At 39.4% G+C, this 18488-nt stretch overlaps 1 protein-coding gene and 1 pseudogene across 5 annotated transcripts in view; one reads left to right on the plus strand and one right to left on the minus strand.

The window, feature by feature from the left end:
- VPS26A (VPS26 retromer complex component A) overlaps nucleotides 1-18488 on the plus strand; it is a 50235-nt gene that overhangs the window by 26715 nt on the left and 5032 nt on the right. For 3 of the 5 annotated variants that reach the window (NM_001318944.2, NM_001318945.2, NM_004896.5), the window contains 6 exons: nucleotides 4920-4995; nucleotides 6115-6271; nucleotides 7155-7319; nucleotides 11514-11620; nucleotides 15150-15218; nucleotides 17597-17739. In NM_001318944.2, the coding sequence (NP_001305873.1) occupies nucleotides 4920-4995; nucleotides 6115-6271; nucleotides 7155-7319; nucleotides 11514-11620; nucleotides 15150-15218; nucleotides 17597-17739 (717 nt within the window). The remainder of the gene's footprint in view (nucleotides 1-4919; nucleotides 4996-6114; nucleotides 6272-7154; nucleotides 7320-11513; nucleotides 11621-15149; nucleotides 15219-17596; nucleotides 17740-18488) is intronic. The other 2 variants (NM_001035260.3, NM_001318946.2) reach the window with 2 other exon arrangements.
- Nucleotides 10622-11089, minus strand: RPS12P17 (ribosomal protein S12 pseudogene 17; annotated as a pseudogene).

The following is an 18488-nucleotide window of genomic DNA, read 5'->3' on the forward strand; positions in this document are numbered from 1 at the left end:
TGTGCTATTCTTGCAAGTTTTTTGCAAGTTTTTGAATTATAATAAGAAGTTAGAAAAGTATAACTGAATTGGTATTAAGACTCTTGACATAGGTTGGGCGTGGTGGCACACACCTGTAATCCCAGCACTTTGGGAGGCCGAGGCAGGCAGATCAAGAGGTCAGGAGATGGAGACCATTCTGGCTAACATGGTGAAACCCCGTCTCTACTAAAAATACAAAAAATTATCCGGGCATGGTGGCGGGCACTTGTAGTCCCAGCTACTCGGGAGGCTGAGTCAGGAGAACGGTGTGAACCCAGGAGGCAGAGCTTGCAGTGAGCTGAGATCAGGCCACTGCACTCCAGCCTGGGCAACAGAGTGAGACTCCATGTCAAAAAAAAAAAAAAAAAAACACACACACACACACAATTAGCCGGGTGTGTGGTGGCAGTTGCCTGTAATCCCAGCTACTCAGGAGGCTGAGGCAGGAGAATCACTTGAACTGGGGAGGCAGAGGTTGCAGTGAGCCGAGACCACACCAATGCATTCCAGCCTGGGCTACAGGGCGAGACTCCGTCTCAAAAAAAAAAAAAAAAAAAAAAATTCTTGACCCAGCTCACCAGCATAGTTAGTTTACTTTTCTGTGCTTCCTTGCAGAATAGCTTTTAAACCAAAATGCTTAATTATGCCTTCAAATTCTGGGATTCTTCATATTGCAGAAGAGCCTACAATAAGGCTTAAAAGCAACTGTGTTTTAACATCAGTGGGAGATCAAGGAAAATTTCAGAGTTTGCAGTTTGGTAGGAAGACTGAAAAACTTTGCATTTGTACTTTAATAGTGTGGTTTCATGATGGTTTTTGAAGAACTGTAAGTTTTAAAAATATCAGACAAAGCCATGTTCAAATAAAATCATTCTTAAAAACTGCTGCCATATAGGTATTTTCAAAAATATAATTTTTTTCTATATGCTTTGTTGGTAGAGATTATAGTTCAAATTACTGCATGGCTTTTGAAATAGCTGGGATTATGCTTGTTTTATTATTTGTGGTTCAAATATAAAATTTTTAATGTTAAGCCTGTTTAAGTACTACTTTTCTTTCTTAAATATTTTTCTGACTTTAATAGTATTTTTTGCCTTTTTTTTTAAAGAGGCCTGGGCAACATAGTAAGACCCTGTATAAAAAAAATTAGCCAGGCATGGTGGCATGTGCCTGTAATTTCAGCTATTTGGGAGGCTGAGGTGGGAGAATCACTTGAGCCTGGCAGATTGAGGCTGCAGTGAGTCATGATGGTGCCACTGCGCTCCAGCCTGGGTGACACAGCAAGACCCTGTCTACAAAAAACAAAACAAAAACTTAAAAACCAGAGAAGGAAACAATTACCCATAATCAATAATCATTCATTTCAGAAGTAACTGCTGTTAAGAGTATTCTCTTTCTGTAGTTTCAAAAAATATAATCGGCATATACTTGTATACAATTTAACCATGCTTTATTCACGTAACACATCATGCATATCTACCCACATCATTAAAAATTCTTTATCATTATTGTTTTTAAACTTTTAATAATATTCCATCATATGGTGTATCACAATTTACTTTTTTCTGAGTTATTTTGAAGGCAAGTAACTAACTTATATTGGTTATAAGATAGGGAAGATACAGAAGATGAATATTTTAATCTATGCAGTTTACAAACAGAAGTAATTGGACCTCTTTTTCTTGTTCCTTGATTTCTGTTATCTTTTGAGAAACATTATTTGTAAGAAAAGCTTTTAAAAGTTACATTACCAGCATTTGTTATAGTAAAAAACGGCGGGGCACAGTGGCTCATGCCTGTAATCCCAGCACTTTGGGAGGCCGAGGCGGGTGGATCACGAGGTCAGGAGATCAAGACCATCCTGGCTAACATGGTGAAACCCCGTCTGTACTAAAAATACAAAAAAATTAGCCGGGCATGGTGGCGGGCGCCTGTAGTCCCAGCCACCCAGGAGGCTGAGGCAGGAGAATGGCATGAACCTGGAAGGCAGAGCTTGCAGTGAGCCAAGATCGTGCCACTGCACTCCAGCCTGGGCGACAGAGCGAGGCTCTGTCTCAAAAAAAAAAAAAGAAACCTGGAAGTATGCTTTTTTGTATGAAAAAGGATCCTACCTAATTCTTAAATGTTAAGTTGTTTTTTTTTTTTTCGGTTGGCGGGTACAGGGGGAGATAGAGTCTTGCTCTGTTGCCCAGGCTGGAGTGCAGTGGTTCACTGCAACCTCCGCCCCCCGGGTTCAAGTGATTCTCTTGCCTTAGCCTCCCAAGTAGCTGGGATTACAGGCATGTGCCACCACGTCCAGCTAATTTTCGTATTTTTAGTAGAGACGAGGTTTCACCATGTTGGCCAGGCTGGTCTGGAACTCCTCATCTCAAGTAATCCACTGTCCTCGGCCTCCCAAAGTGCTAAGATTACAGGCATGAGCCACTGTGCCCTGCCTTTTTTTTGTCTGAGACAAGGTCTTGCCCTGTTGTCCAGGCTGGAGTGCAGTGGTGTAATCTTAGCTCATTGCACCTTCGACCTCCTAGGGTCAAAGGCTCCTCCTGCCACAGTCTCCCTAGTAGCTGGGACTACAGGCACACACGCCCCAATACCCAGCTAATTTTTTTTTTTTTTTTTAGTAGAGACGGAGCCTTGCTATATTGTCCAAGCTCGTCTTGAACTCCTGACCTTAATTAAGCAGCCTTCCTGCCTCTGCCTCCCAAAGTGCTGAAATTATAGGCATGAGCCACCACGCCTAGCTTGGAATTTTATTTCTAACATACATAGTTCACAGATATCTTTCTCAAATTAAAAAGTTATAAATTTGGCTGGGTATGGTCACTTGAGGCAGGAGGATTGCTTGAGGCCAGGTGTTCGAGACCAGCCTGGGCAATATATTGAGACTCCACCTGATTCTCTGCTTTCTCTTTCCTTTTTCTGATTTCTCTGTTCTTTGAGGGTAAGATGATATTCTCAGACTACATACATCTTTCAATAGTAGCCAGCACAGGGCTGGGTACATTCAGTGAACAAGTGAATAAATGAATATACAAAATACAATCAGAATCTTAGAGAAGGGGAACCCGGTAGGATTGTAAACACATGCAGAGAAACACCCATCATAGGAGCAGGCTGGCTTCAAGTCTAGACCCTGGTCATCTCACAGTGAACTAATGGTACTTGAACGGAGCCCTGACTCCCATGCCAAGCAATGTGAAGTTGTATCCTTGACTGTCTCAGGTAATACTTAGAGAAGAAGAGTGTTATCAAGAAAGACAATTGAGAAACAACCTATATGACCATACAGGGGATTCAGCAGGTAAATGGTGGTGTAGCCAAACAATAGAATTCTTTGTAGATCTGGCTGGGCGTGATGACTCATGCCTGTAATCCCAGCACTTTGGGAGGCCGAGGTGGGTGGATCACCTGAGGTCAGGAGTTTGAGACCAGCCTGAGCAACATAATGAAACCCCATCTCCACCAAAAATACAAAATTAGCTGGGCGTGGTGGCACATGCCTGTAATCCCAGCTACTTGGGAGGCTGAGGCAGGAGAATTGCTTGAACTTGGGAGATGGAGGTTGAAGTGAGCCAAGATCTTGCCACTGCACTCTAGCCTGGGCAACAAGAGCGAAACTCCGTCTAAAACAAAAAAAAGGAATTCTATATAGATCTTAAAGATGAGTTTGTGGCCAGTACAGTGGCTCATGCCTGTAAGCCCAGCACTTTGGGAGTCCAATGTGGCAGAACTGCTTGAGGCCAGGAGTTTGAGACCAGCTTGGGCAATATAGTGAGACCTCATCTCTACAAAAAAAATTTTTTTAATTAGCTTGGTGTAGTTATGCATCCCTATAGTCCCAGCTATTTGGAGGCTGAGGCAGGAGGATCACTTAACCCTAGGGGTTCAAAGCTGTAGTGAGCAATAATCATGCACTGTACTCCAGCCTGGGTGACAGAGTGAGACTCTGTCTCTTAAAATATGTGTGTGTGTGCGCGCACGCGCACGTGCGTGCACATATATATATTTTTTTTTTAAGATTTCCACTTGGCAGATATATGAGTTTAGGGATTTTGAGATTATATATTTTACTCCAAAAGTATGTAAGATAATGGCCAGGTGCAGTAGCTCATGCCTGTACTTCTAGCACTTTGGGAGGCTGAGGGAGGAGGATCATTTGAGCCCAAGAGGTTGAGGCTGCAGTAAGCTATGATTGTGCCACTGCACTCCAGCCTAAGCAACAGAGTCCTTTCTGGAAAAAAAAAAAAGTATGTAAGATAAATCATACTTGAATTTAAATCTTTAGGCATTCTGTTTTTATGGTGGGTAGCAGACTTAGGACAAAAGGCACTGCTTTTAAGGTTAGGAATTATAATAATATATTGGTTACAGAAAACTGAAAGTGATACCTCAATTACAATAAGTATGAAGCTATGATTTGACCGACAAATTTCTGAGCATTGTCCATAATATAGTCCTAGTTGTGTGGATGTTAGTCTTGCTTGATTTAAATGTCCTGGAATTGCATCTGTTTTTAGGTCAGTTCTTGAAATTAGTAATTACCTCACATTAAAATGCTTTTATTAGTCATAGAATTAACTGTTTGACCAGAAAACAAATATGGATAGTTGAAGGCTGTTCCTTTCTTTGAGTCTTTTTATAGTTCTCCACCTATTAAGGATTCCTTCTTAACAAAGCAGACTTTATGTTGATGTAAATAAGAGGTTCACCCATGATTGTGTATAACTAAATTACACCTTCTCTGGTGCTATAACATCATCCTGATTTAGGTATGTGGTGGTGTCTCAAACTTCATAAATGAATACCTGAAATATTTATATATTGCATTCATCTGAAAGGAAGCTACTAGTAGGCCCACTCATAGGATTGTTAACATCTCTTATAATTTCATGTTTTGGCAGGTAAACCTAGCCTTTAAGCAACCTGGAAAGAGGCTAGAACACCAAGGAATTAGAATTGAATTTGTAGGTCAAATTGGTGAGTTTTAAAATAGTATTATTTCTTTTTCTTTGATAACTGAATTTGAAGAGGGTTGGATTTTGCACCAAAATAATTGAATTAGAGCTTAGCTTTGTAGAAGGAAGGAATTGATTTTGCATAATAAAAGAGAGGATTTACTTTATAACTATATTAAATTGTGTTTCTTTGACTTGTATGAAATGATATTTGATATATCATTTCATGATATATATGAAACTACCAGCCTTGAAAACTAATTCAAGTAAATTAGTTGACCTACTGAAATTTTCATCTGCCTGCATTTTTCACCATCCTTCTTATAATTAGCAGCCTCACCTTCATTCTTCATTTTCTAATTACCCATGCCATTTGTCTTCCTGATCTAGTGTGTGCCTGTAGCCAGACTCACTTGTGTCAACACACAATTCCATGTGAGAAGGAAAGGTGTAGTTTCTTCTTGACTTAGATCAACTTATGTACATTTCCATACATGATTCCAGATGAATGCTTGATTTAGTAGGGAGTTAAACTATATAAATCTTTCTATACTGAAGATTCAGAAGAGAAAAGAAAATATGTCTTTATAATACTGTCTACATAACTAGGCTTAAAATCTAGCTTTCTAAGTTTCAGTGTACATTTTTAAAGTATCAGAATTGGAATGGGTAGATATTTATATATCTGTTCTGACTGAGAGTGTACTTACATGTCTATTCTGACTGAGAGGCAAGTTGTAGTAATTGATAGTTGGTTTTAGTCTTTTTGTGTTTTGTAATTTTATGAAGGTAATATATTTGCCTAACTAAAGCAAAATAGAATTTTTGCCTTGTCTAGGGGAAGTTCAAATAATTGCTGGTAATGTGTCAAATGGCTTCATATTGGGAGAGCCCCAACTACATCAAAGGAATGAACTCATTTTTAAAGAAATTTTCATTGTGCTATGCCACTTGAAATCTTTTATGCCTACATGAAGTATAATTATAAAAAGGATAATGGAATTCAGAGCATAGGTCTAGTTTATTAGAGACAAACTCAATAATTCTTTTGGTAAAAATCGTTTGTGTTTGAAGTAGATGTCTGGGTTTTATTGAAATGGCTATTAAATAATTGGTCTTTTTGCCTTTTAAAATTTCTCAGAACTTTTCAATGACAAGAGTAATACTCATGAATTTGTAAACCTAGTGAAAGAACTAGCCTTACCTGGAGAACTGACTCAGAGCAGAAGTTATGATTTTGAATTTATGCAAGTTGAAAAGCCATATGAATCTTACATCGGTGCCAATGTCCGCTTGAGGTATGAATGTGTATTATAAACTGTAAACAGAATCAAAACCAGAAAGTAATGACTACTGTTGATATCTTATTTGAACCTCTAATTATAATTCTGTATTGGAAGATTTAAGATTTTTAAAAATTCTGTCACATACTTTGGCTAATGCTGATTTGAGGTAATAGAGCGTTCTAACATTATAGAGTTAGACAACATTGTTATGAGACATTTCAGTTATACACTTCCCTGGTATGAATTGTCCCTTACGTACTTCATTTGTCATGTAAACTGAATGACCTTCTAAATCCACTAGTTTCCCAGAAAATCTCCTTTAGTATATGGTTCAGAAGTAATCTGGAGTACCAGAGAGGCTCTGATACATCTAAAATGACACAAATAGTGGATGGCAGAAAAGGAGTACGAACCTAGTTTTCTAAACTCTCAATTCAGTGTCCTTTCCCTTCACTAAGTCTGTATGCAGGAAGCCAGGGATGCCTCAGAGTCCAGGGCATTTCAGGATATTAATCTGAATGCATCAGGTCCGAGATCTTGCTTTCTCTGTTTAACTTGGCATTATCTATCTGGAACTGGGTTTGACAACCCAAATTTCAAATAGCAGTTCCTTAAAGAAGTGATCTGGAGAGGTTTCTTCAAGTAGGCTTGATGACAGCCCTCCAAACTCATCTGTAAAGTATTTACACTATTCTTAAAATTGAACTTTGTATTTTTTTTCATGTTGGGGGCATTAAAGAAAATTGGAACTCCTTCGTGAAGTAATGAAGTAAGTTGATCCCAAAGGAGTTCCAGCAAGGAGGAGAAGCCTGAGTTGCAGTTAATGTTTGCTGATTTAAAACATGAAAATTTATCACAGGTGATTTAACTCATCGACTCTCTTTTAACTTTGTAGGTATTTTCTTAAAGTGACAATAGTGAGAAGACTGACAGATTTGGTAAAAGAGTATGATCTTATTGTTCACCAGCTTGCCACCTATCCTGATGTTAACAACTCTATTAAGATGGAAGTGGGCATTGAAGATTGTCTACATATAGAATTTGAATATAATAAATCAAAGTAAGTATCATTCACAGATAAGTTGTTCAGAGAAAATTCAAAAATTAACTTTTCAGGTGTTTGTCAGTTGGTCAAAGTAAGGATAGAATTGACATTAATCTGATGTTAACAAATCAACAGGATCTCTGAGCTAAAAGAAATTTTAGGAGTTTGGTCTGGTTTCCACTCAGTAAAGGTGTCTTTTATGTTCTATTCCTGATAAATCTCTGCTTGGCCACTTTGTGTAGAGGATGTCACCATCTCAGAAGGCAGCCAGTCCTTCTGAGGATACAATTTATCTTACTGGCTTGATATTACCTCATCCTAGCCATCTCTTTTCACATATTTTCACCTTTACCACTTAATCACTGTTAATGTCTCCTTGTATATCATTTCTTGGGGGGAGGGGGAAGGTATATATGTTTATATATGTTGTATTTTTACAAAACTGGCTCATATTTTGCTTGTGTTTAATGCCTTTTTAAATTTTATTATGGGAAATTTCAAGCATATACTAAAATATTTGAACAGTATACTGAATAATATAATGAATCCTCATGTACCCATTGCCCAGCTCCAACAGTTATCAACACACAATCCAGTTTATCTGTATTCAGCTCTCATACTCCCCATAGGTTATATTGAAGCAAATTCCAGACATTTAATTTAACCCATAAAATTATGTATCATTTTATCAATTAAATTATATATGTGGAATTTGCTTCGATACAATCTGTGGGAAGCTGTATCAATATCATTTTATACATGGACTAAGATGTTCTCAGAAACATTACTTACATGAACAAAAGATTGCCATTTAAATGCCCACTGGTATTATAACAGTTAAATAAATTATGGTCCAGCCATACTGTGGAATGCTAAAGAAGGGTTAAAAAGATTGAGGCCGGGTGCGGTGGCTCACACCTGTAATCCCAGCACTTTGGGAGGCCAAGGTGGGCAGAGTTTGATCACCTGAGGTCAGGAGTTTGAGACCAGCATGGTCAACATGGAGAAACTCCGTCTCCACTGAAAATACAAAAATTAGATGGGTGTGGCGGTGCATGCCTGTAATCCCAGCTACTTGGGAGGCTGAGGGAGGAGAATTGCTTGAACCTGGGAGGTAAAGGTTGCAGTGTGCTGAGATCACGCCACTGCAGTCCAGCCTGGGTGACAGAGGGAGACTCCATCTCAAAAAAAAAAACAAAAAAAAAAGATTGAGACATATGTATTTAGTTCTCCAGAAGCGTGTCCATGATATATTAAGTGAAAAATTTAGCCATAAAAACAGCATGCATAGTACTGTTTCATTTCTGTAAAATACTCATGTATTTGGATATGAATAGAAAAGAGTCTGCAATGATATTCTGTTGTTAACAGTGGTTATCTGTAAAGGATGAAATTATGTATTGACTTTACATATCTCTTATTTAAATGTTATATGACAAGCTTGTTTTCTGTGTCTATTCAGAAAAAAGTTTTAAAAAGTTATATATCATTCTAAATATAACTACAATACTCTTATATCTAAAAATATTAGTAATTCCTTAATATCTTCATACACCCAGACAGTATTCACATTTCCCTAATTGGCTCACAGATATCTTTCTTTTTTCACATACTTTGTTCAAATCAATATTTAAACTAGGGCCACACATTGCATTTGGTTGTTTGAGCCTTAAATTTTTTAATTTATAGGTTTCCCTTCTATTTTTTTTATTAAAGTTTGTTTGTTGAAGAAATGGATGTGCCCTGTATTATCCCTTTCATACCCCAGTCTTTTGTTACATTATTTTTATTGGTTGTCACTCCCAGGTTTATATCACTGAATATGTAATACATATGGACTTCAGAATCTTAAAATTATATTGTTGATGAAATTATCAAATAGTTTAGGACCTGAAACCACTGAAGCTTCCCTTCAGACTGACATAATTTTTACACACACACACACACACACACACACACACACACACACACAGTTTTTTGTTTGTTTGAGTCTCACTTTGTCGCCCAGGCTGGAGTGCAATGGCGTGATCTCGGCTCACTGCAACCTCTGCCTCCTGGGTTCAAGGGATTCTCCTGCCTCAGCCTCCTGAGTAGCTGGGATTACAGGTGCCTGCCACTATGCCTGGCTAATTTTTGTATTTTTAGTGGAGACGGGGTTTCACCATGTTGGTCAGGCTGGTCTCAAACTCCTGACCTCATGATCCACCCGCCTTGGCCTCCCAAAGTGCTGGGATTATAGGCATGAGCCACCGCGCCCAACATATTTTTTTTTTTTTGGAGTCGGAATCTCTGTCGTCCCGTCTGGAGTGCAGTGGCATGATCTCGGCTCACTGCAACCTCTACCTCCTGAGTTCAAGCAATTCTCCTGCCTCAGCCTCCTGAGTAGCTGGGATGACAGGCATGTGCCACCACGCCCGGCTAATTTTTGTAGTTTTAGTAGAGATGGGGTTTCACCATGTTGGCTAGGCTGGTCTTGAACTCCTGACCTCAGGTGATCTGCCCGCCTTGGTCTCCCAAAGTGCTGGGATTACAGGCGTGCCCGGCCTGACATAATTTATATTAACCAACTCTTGAGATACAATTTTGAGAGCCAAACCTGGGAGGATGCTAAAAAGTCCTCTGGATATTATAGGGATTCCTAAGTTTATTACCACATCATTACAAGGTACGTGGGAGCGACCTTTGGTTATTAGCTATCACAACAGCAGACTCAACCTATGTAGGTAGGTTTCTTTTACTTTGTCTTTGTGGGCAGATGATTTATGTTAGCTGCACTCTTGTAGAACTTGAGTAATAATGACACTAAACTCTTGTGTCTTTTAATGTTGAAAATATCTTCATACACCAAATATTTCAAGTATTTTTTGTGTGTGTTTGTTTTGAGAAAGAGTCTGGCTCTGTCACCCAGGCTGGAGTGCAGTGGCACAATCATGAGTCACTGCAGCCTCAATCTCCCAGGCTCAAATTATCATCTCACCTCAGCCTCCTGAGTAGCTAGGATCACAGGCATGTGCCACTAATTTTGCACCACCCAGCTAATTTTTAGAAGAGATTACATCCCCCTATGTTGCCTAGGCTGGTCTTAGACTCCTGGGTTCAAGCAATCCTGTCGCCTTGGGCCTCCCAAAGTACTGGGATTATAGGTGTGAGCCACTGAGCCCAGCCAGAACAGTTAACCAGGGTAATTATTCCCTCTGAGGTAGTCAAGTAAAAGTTTGATTCCTTATTTGCATAGTGAAATGATGAATACTTTTTTGAAAAAAAGAACACTAAACAATATGAATAATCAAAATGGTTGTTGTTGGTTTTTGTTTTTGGTGAGCCAAAGTTTTATTTATTCATTTGAAGTATTCTCTGATGACATCCTGGCCTGAGACTCCTTGCCATAGTTCTTAATTACTGCACAACTGCAAACAACCACTTTACGGGGTTTCCCCCATCTGTCAGTTTTATAGAGGCTTACCCATTCCCCAGTTTCTTCTTGTCATCAACCGGGGTTCAGCACAAAGGGCCTCCACCAACTTAACATACATGGGCTCATCACAATTAGATGCAAGCACACAAAGATGAGCTTGGTGCCTGTCTAAGGCTTTGGCAGCTTTGTGAATTCCACATGCTAGGCCATCATGGATGAGGGTGGTCTTCAGCACCTCTTGTAAAGCAGTAGTAACGTCCCTTATACCTCCAGCAGCAATGCCTTCCTCAGCCATGGTGGTGAGTGAAACTGAATCTTGAATACACCCAGGCCGCCACCTCCATGCAACTCAGCAGCGGCAAGGAAAGAGCTCAAAATAGTACTTTTTTTTTTTTTTTTTTGAGATGGAGTCTTGCTGTCACCCAAGCTGGAGTGCAGTGGTGTGATTTGCCTCACTGCAGCCTTCACCTGCTGGGTTCAGGCAGTCCTCCCGCTTCAGCCTCCCAAGTAGCAGGGATCACAAGCATGTGCCACCATGCCCAGCTAATTTTTGTATTTTTAGTAGAGACAGTTTCGCCATGTTGGCCAGGATGGTCTTGAACTCCTGACCTCAAGTGATCCGCCCACCCCGGCCTTCCAGAGTGCTAGGATTACAGGCAAGAGCCACTGTGCCCAGCCTCAAAATGGCTTAAGTAATTATACTAAAGATGTCTATCAAAGTCTTTTAGGACATAGTTCACTGTTTTTGCTTGTTTTTAAACTGATATTTAGTGAGATATGTTCTTCCCCAATAGGTATCATTTAAAGGATGTGATTGTTGGAAAAATTTACTTCTTATTAGTAAGAATAAAAATACAACATATGGAGTTACAGCTGATCAAAAAAGAGATCACAGGAATTGGTAAGTTGAAAAGAGTATGTAAATTAAAATTCTTTGTTTTAGTTGACATTTTTAAAATCTTAAAATATTGTTTAAACATAATTTGATATCCACATTGAGTACTAATTTTGCTAGTTAATATTGCTGGCAGTAAGTTATTTAATGTTTTTTTAAATTACTTTTTGATTGTCCAGAATTTATTTTTTATAAAAAATTAATTTTTGAATAGGTAATAAATTCACATGGTTCAAAAATAAAATGTAAAAGAGTATACAGTAAAAAGTATCTTATTTCTGTACTCTAGCTACTCATAGGTAATATGTTTATTATAAGTTTAAAAATCCTCAGTGGAGCAGGTCAAAACTCCTGTGCTGATCAGTAGTGGGATTGTGCCTGTGAATAGCCACTGCACTTCAGCTTGGACAACAGAGTGAGACCATTCCAAAAAAAAGAAAAACAAAAACCAAAACTTTCCAATTAGTTATTATGTATACAAGCAAGTACCTATGTATAAGACACACCCCTTTTTACTTAAATGGTGGTGTATAATGCATACTTCGCTTTGCCACTTAGTAGTGCATCTTAGAGAACTTTCCATAACAATGTGTAGAATACTTTATCTTTTTAATAGTTTTCCATTTTATTGATATACTAAAATTGAACCAGTCTGCTGTTTGTGGACATACTGGTTGTTTCCGGTCTTTTGCTATTACAGATAATGTCATTTTGCACGTGTGCAAGATAAAATCTTAGAAGTGGAATTCATGGGTTAAACAGCATATTTGTTTATAATTCTTCTGCCCTTTTTGTGGCGAACAGGGTCTCACTATGTTGCCCAGGCTAGTCTCGAACTCCTGGGCTCAAGCTATCCTCCCACCTCTGCCTCCCAAAGTGTTATGATTACAGGCATAAGCCATTGCACCTGGCCATTTACAATTTTGATGCATGTTATCAGTAAGTCCTCTTTAGGGATTATCCCAGTTTGCATTGCTATCAGCAGTGAATGTAGGAGAGTGCCTCTTTTCCCCCATATTCTCATGAGCACAATGCTGTAAAAACTTTTAGCTCATTTGATGGGTAAGGGGGAGATACTACTACAGTGTAGTTCTGGGATTTTTCTTATGGATTCTTTTTCCCCCACTGCTTTATTGAGGTATAATTGGCAAATAAAAATTGTATATATTCAAGATGTATGATGGAATGTTTACATTATGAAATGATTACCACAGTCAAGCTAATTAATATATTCCATTATAGTTTTAATTTTCAGTTTTCTTTTTTTTTTTTTTTTTGAGACGGAGTCTCGCTCTGTGGCCCAGGCGGGAGTGCAGTGGCGCAATCTCGGCTCACTGCAAGCTCCGCCTCCAGGGTTCACGCCATTCTCCTGCCTCAGCCTCCCGAGTAGCTGGGACTACAGGCGCCCACCATCACGCCCGGCTAATTTTTTTTGTATTTTTAGTAGAGACGGGGTTTCACCGTGTTAGCCAGGATGGTCTCGATCTCCTGACCTCGTGATCCGCCCGCCTCAGCCTCCCAAAGTGCTGGGATTACAAGCGTGAGCCACCGCGCCCGGCCTAATTTTCAGTTTTCTTATTGAGGATGAACATCTCTTCATATGAATAAAAACAATTTTTATTTTCTGTAAGCCATTCATATTCTTTGCCCCATTATCTATTCTTTTTCTTACTTATGTGTAGAAACTATATATTAGAGAAATCAATCCCCCTCCACCTTTTTTTTTTTTGAGACAGGGTCTCACACTGTCACCCAGGCTGGAGTGCAATGGTACAATTATAGCTCACTGCAGCCTTGAACTCCTGGACTTGAGCAATCCTCCAACCTCAGCGTTGTGGGTAGCTGGGGCCACAGGCACATGCCACCACACCCAGCTAATTTTTTATTTTTTTGTAGAGACAGGGTGTCACTACGTTGCCCAGGCTGGTTTCAAACTCCTGGACTCAGCGATCCTCCTGCCTCAGCATCCCAAATTGCTGGGTTTACAGGTGTGAGCCACTGTGCCCTGAATTCCTTTTTCTAATATTAAGGGTAGCAAAAATTTCCCTCGTTTGTCTTGTTTGTGGTGGTTCATGCCATGTAGAAGTTATTGATGTTTATGTAGTCAGATTTATCAGTTTTTCATTTTATGGCCTCTGGGTTTTATGCCATGGTTAGAAAGGTCTTTTTCACACTGAAGTTCTAAAAATAATTTTCTGTGCTTGATTCTACTGAAGTAATACATTGTGGTTTAGGGATTTTGTTTCATTTTTAAAATATTAATTCATTTGAAATGTGTTGTGATGTAAGAGGTGAGGTATGTATCACCTTTACTTTTTTCCAGATGGCTGACCAGTTGTCCTGATATCTTTTATTGTTTCATCCCTGCTTTTTGATTTTAATATATAAATATATAAACTTACTTTCTCCTCTAATATTGTTGGGTGTTTTTTTTTTTTTGGAGACGGCGTCTCCCTCTGTTTCCAGGCTGGAGTGCAGTGGCGTGATCTCGGCTCACTGCAACCTCTGCCTCCAGGGTTCAAGCAATTCTCCTGCCTCAGCCTCCTGAGTAGCTGGGATTATAGGCACACGCCAACATGCCTGGCTAATTTTTGTATTTTTAGTAGAGACGGGGTTTCACCGTGTTGCCTAGGCTGGTCTCGAACTCCTGAGCTCAGGCAGTCTGCCTGCCTTGGCCTCTCAAAGTGCTGGGATTACAGGCGTGAGCCACTGTGCCTGGCCTCATCGTCGGGTTTTTTGCTGAAAGTAATTCTAGGCAACACTTTATAAGAATTTATAGTCAGTATTCATAATTTAAAACATCTGTGATTTCTTTTATTATTATTATTTTATTTTTAAATAAAATTCTCACCCAAGGCATGATCTCAAGGCAAGAGGTCCTGAGAACATGTACCCCCATATGTGATTTCTTAATCTCCATGTTTCTACTTGCTAGTAAATTTAAGTGATTTTAAAATCACTTCAAATTCTCCTTTGTTGTTTCAAACAACTTCAAATTCTCCTTTGTTGTTTAAAATGTGGCCAGGTGCGGTCGCTCACCTGTAATCCCACTACTTTGGGAGGCTGAAGCGGGCAGATCACTTGAACCCAAGGAATTCAAGACCAGCCTGGGCATCATGGTGAAACCCCATCTCTATCCCAAAAAATACAAAACTTAGCCAGGCATGATAGTGCACGCCTGTAGTCCCAACTACTCTGGAGGCTTAGGTGGGAAGATTGCTTGAGTTCAGGAGTTTGAGACCAGCCTGGGCAATATATTGAGAACCCATCTCTACAAAAATTGAAAATAAAAAAACAGGCATGGTGGTGCACACGTGTAATCTCAGCTACTTGGGAGGCTGAGGCAGAAGGATTGCTTAAGCCCAGGAGGTTGAGGCTGCGGCAAGCCATGATTGGACCACTGCACTCTAGCTTGGGTGATGGAGCGAGACACCGTCTCTAAAAAAAAATAATGTAGTGGAAAAATAAGAAGGCATAAGGCTAGTAATTATATTCTGGAATATTTAAATTAATGTTATTTACATTATTGCACTAGGACCCAGTACCACAACAGAAACAGAAACAATCGCCAAATATGAAATAATGGATGGTGCACCAGTAAAAGGTAACACACTTTTCAGTTACTTCTTTTGTATAGTGCAAACATCAGTGTTCATGGCAGTTTTGTTTGTATTTATTTAGTGTGAAAGTATCTTTGAATTCTTAAACCATTCTTACAATGATAGCTTTTAAGGTCATCTTTGTACAGCTGCAAAGAAGACTGTAATTATATTTCCTAGTCTGAAATAAGGTTTAATTTTTCAGTTTCAATTTAGGATTTACTAGAGACAGTTATATGTATCTATTCTCTAGTTTTGAATTTGTAATATTTTCATTGTCTTCTATTATACAATAGTTCGTCTTTGTAAATGTTTTTTCTCCTGACCACAAAATGGAGTATGGCTGAGCATTAATTCCTGTAGGTTTTTGGAGTCATTATAGCTCTCAAGAAAATAAGCAGTTCCATTACTAGATTAATCTTCAGTATCTGAGACAATGAAGCCAGTATTTATCATTTTAAAATTTATGTCTGGGTTTTCTTCACTATTTGTGCTTACATCACAAAGCCAGTACCATTTATTAAGTGCCAAGTGTAGATGAGGCAATGTAATCTTAGGTGCTCTAAAACTCTTTGAGCTAGGTGGTTGTGTCCCTTATGATGCATGTATGTGTACTCTTGTGTTATGCAACATTACTTTGTAAAATTCCAGCAGCCACCAGTTTTTATGTAAAATTATGAGTTTTATATCTTTCAGCAAATTGGTGTGCATGAGAAAATTATTATGTAAAAAATATTCAGGCCGGGTGTGGTGGCTCATGCCTGTAATCCCAACATTTTGGGAGGCTGAGGTGGGCAGATCACTTGAGGTCAGGAGTTCAAGACCAGCCTGGCCAATATGGTGAAACCCCGTCTCTACTGAAAATATAAAAATTAGCTGGGTATGGTGGTGCACGTCTGTCATCCCAGCTACTTGGGAAGCTGAGGCAGGAGAATCGCTTGAACCTGGGAGGCGGAGGTTGCAGTGAGCTGAGATCATGCCACTGCACTCCAGCCTGGGAGACAGAGTGAAACTCCGTCTCAAAAAAAAAAAAAAATTCAGGGGCCGGGCGTGGTGGCTCACGCCTGTAATCCCACCATTTTGGGAGGCCAAAGTGGGTGGATTGCTTGAGCCCAGGAGTTTGAGACCAGTCTGGGCAACATGGCAAAACCCCCATTTCTATAAAAAATACAAAAATTAGCCAGGCATGGTGGCATGCACCTATGATCCCAGCTACCTGGGAGGTGGGAAGCTCACTTGAGCCCAGGAGGCAAGGTTGCATTGAGCCAAGATGGCACTACTGCATTCCAGCCTGAATGACAGAGGGAGATCCTGCCTCAAAAAAAAGAAAAAGAAAAAGAAAAAAAAAAGCCAGGCGCGGTGGCTCACGCCTGTAATCCCAGCACTTTGGGAGGCCAAGGTGGGTGGATCACCTGAGGTCAGGAGTTCGAGACTGGTCAGCCTGGCCAACATGGTGAAACCCAGTCTCTACTAAAAATACAAAAAAAATTTGCAGGGCATGGTGGCAGGTGCCTGTAATCCCAGCTACTCGGGAGGCTGAGGCAGGAGAATTGGATGAACCCAGGAGGTGGAGGTTGCACTGACCCGAGATCGCACCATTGCACTCCGGCCTGGGCGACAGACCAAGACTCCATCTCAAAAAAAAAAAAAAAAAAAAAAAGAATATGCAAAGAATTACCCTTAGGAAAATAGAAGCAATGAGAATCTGAATAACAGTCTTTTTGGTAATAAAAGAATGTCATCATTCTGTCCGTTTTTAGCTTTGAATATATGAGTAACAAGTATTCAATAATTTATACACATGATTAGAAATTATGGTAAACTTCATGAAAGAAGATAACAAAACAACTTATAGAGCACTTATCTGTTGGCACTGTTTGAGTTTTTTAGGTATATTAACCCATATAGTCCTTACACATTCCTTGTGAATACTATTGTTATTCCCCATTTCACAGATGAAGAACTTAAACAATGAGTAAGTGATTTTTCCAAGGTCACACAACCAGTAAGTGGTTGAGATCTGAAGCCAGGTATTCTGACTCTAGAACAGTAGTTCTCGTCTAGGGGCAACTTCACCTCACAATGAATGTTTGGTGTTGTCTGGAGATATTTTTGGCTGTTACATTTGGAGAGTACTACTGGTATCTAGTGGGTAGAGGCCAGGGTTGCTGCTAAACATCCTACAAAGGATAGGACCCTCCCCACAACAAAGAATTATTCAGCCCAAAATATCAGTACTACTGAGGATGAACCCTGGTCTTTGTTATTTTGCATCTCATGAGGATGTGAAGCATTAGTGTCAACTCTATAGTGCTTAGTCCTACCTGTTATGTGACTATATTTAATCATCTTTAGAATTAAGTAGAAATTCCTTTTCTTTCAGGTGAATCAATTCCAATAAGGCTATTTTTAGCAGGATATGACCCAACTCCAACAATGAGAGATGTGAACAAAAAATTTTCAGTAAGGTACTTTTTGAATTTAGTGCTTGTTGATGAGGAAGACCGGAGGTACTTCAAACAGCAGGTATGGTGCCACTTGGGCTGGTATTATGTTCTGCGGCAGATCTAAAAATACCTCGAAAGCACTCTTCTAAGCTTCACTGTACTGAGCGAGTGGGAGTTTCTAAATAAATAAAAACACTGTGGGTATGATAGATAAAGAAGTAGAGGAGAATAGAATCCTATGATAGATCCCTCCCCAATCATTCTGCAGTACTCCAGAATGAGCTATAATTTTTCAGGGCTTTTAGTTTTCTCTTACAAGTTCTTTTGTTTTTGTTTTTTAATAAAAACAATACCTGCTGCTTATTTAGAAAAAAATAAGGCAATAAAGAACAAAGAATGAAGTAAAGGTCAGCAGAATTTCCACCACCATTGCAACTAATGTGTGTATGTGTGTTTACATCATATTATGGATATTGCTTTTTTTTTTTTCTTACTGTTTTTAATTTTTTGTAGAGACAGAGTCTCACTGTGTTGCCCGGGCTGGTCTTGAACTCTTGGGCTTAAGCAATCCTCCTGCCTTGGCCTCCCAAAGTGCTGGAATTATAGGCATGAGCCACCGTGCCCAGCTGTATTCTTTAATTTGCATTTTTACTCAGTAGTGTCTTGAATATCTTTCTCTTAACAAATATACATTATTATTATTATTATTATTACTATTTTTATTTTTTAAGATGGGGATCTTCCAAGCAATCCTCCAGTCACAGCCTCTTGAGTAGCTGGGAGGTACAGGCACGTACCACTGTGCCCTGCTGATTTATCCCTTTTAAA

Source organism: Homo sapiens, chromosome 10 (genome assembly GCF_000001405.40).
Source record: "Homo sapiens chromosome 10, GRCh38.p14 Primary Assembly".
NCBI lineage: Eukaryota > Metazoa > Chordata > Mammalia > Primates > Hominidae > Homo > Homo sapiens.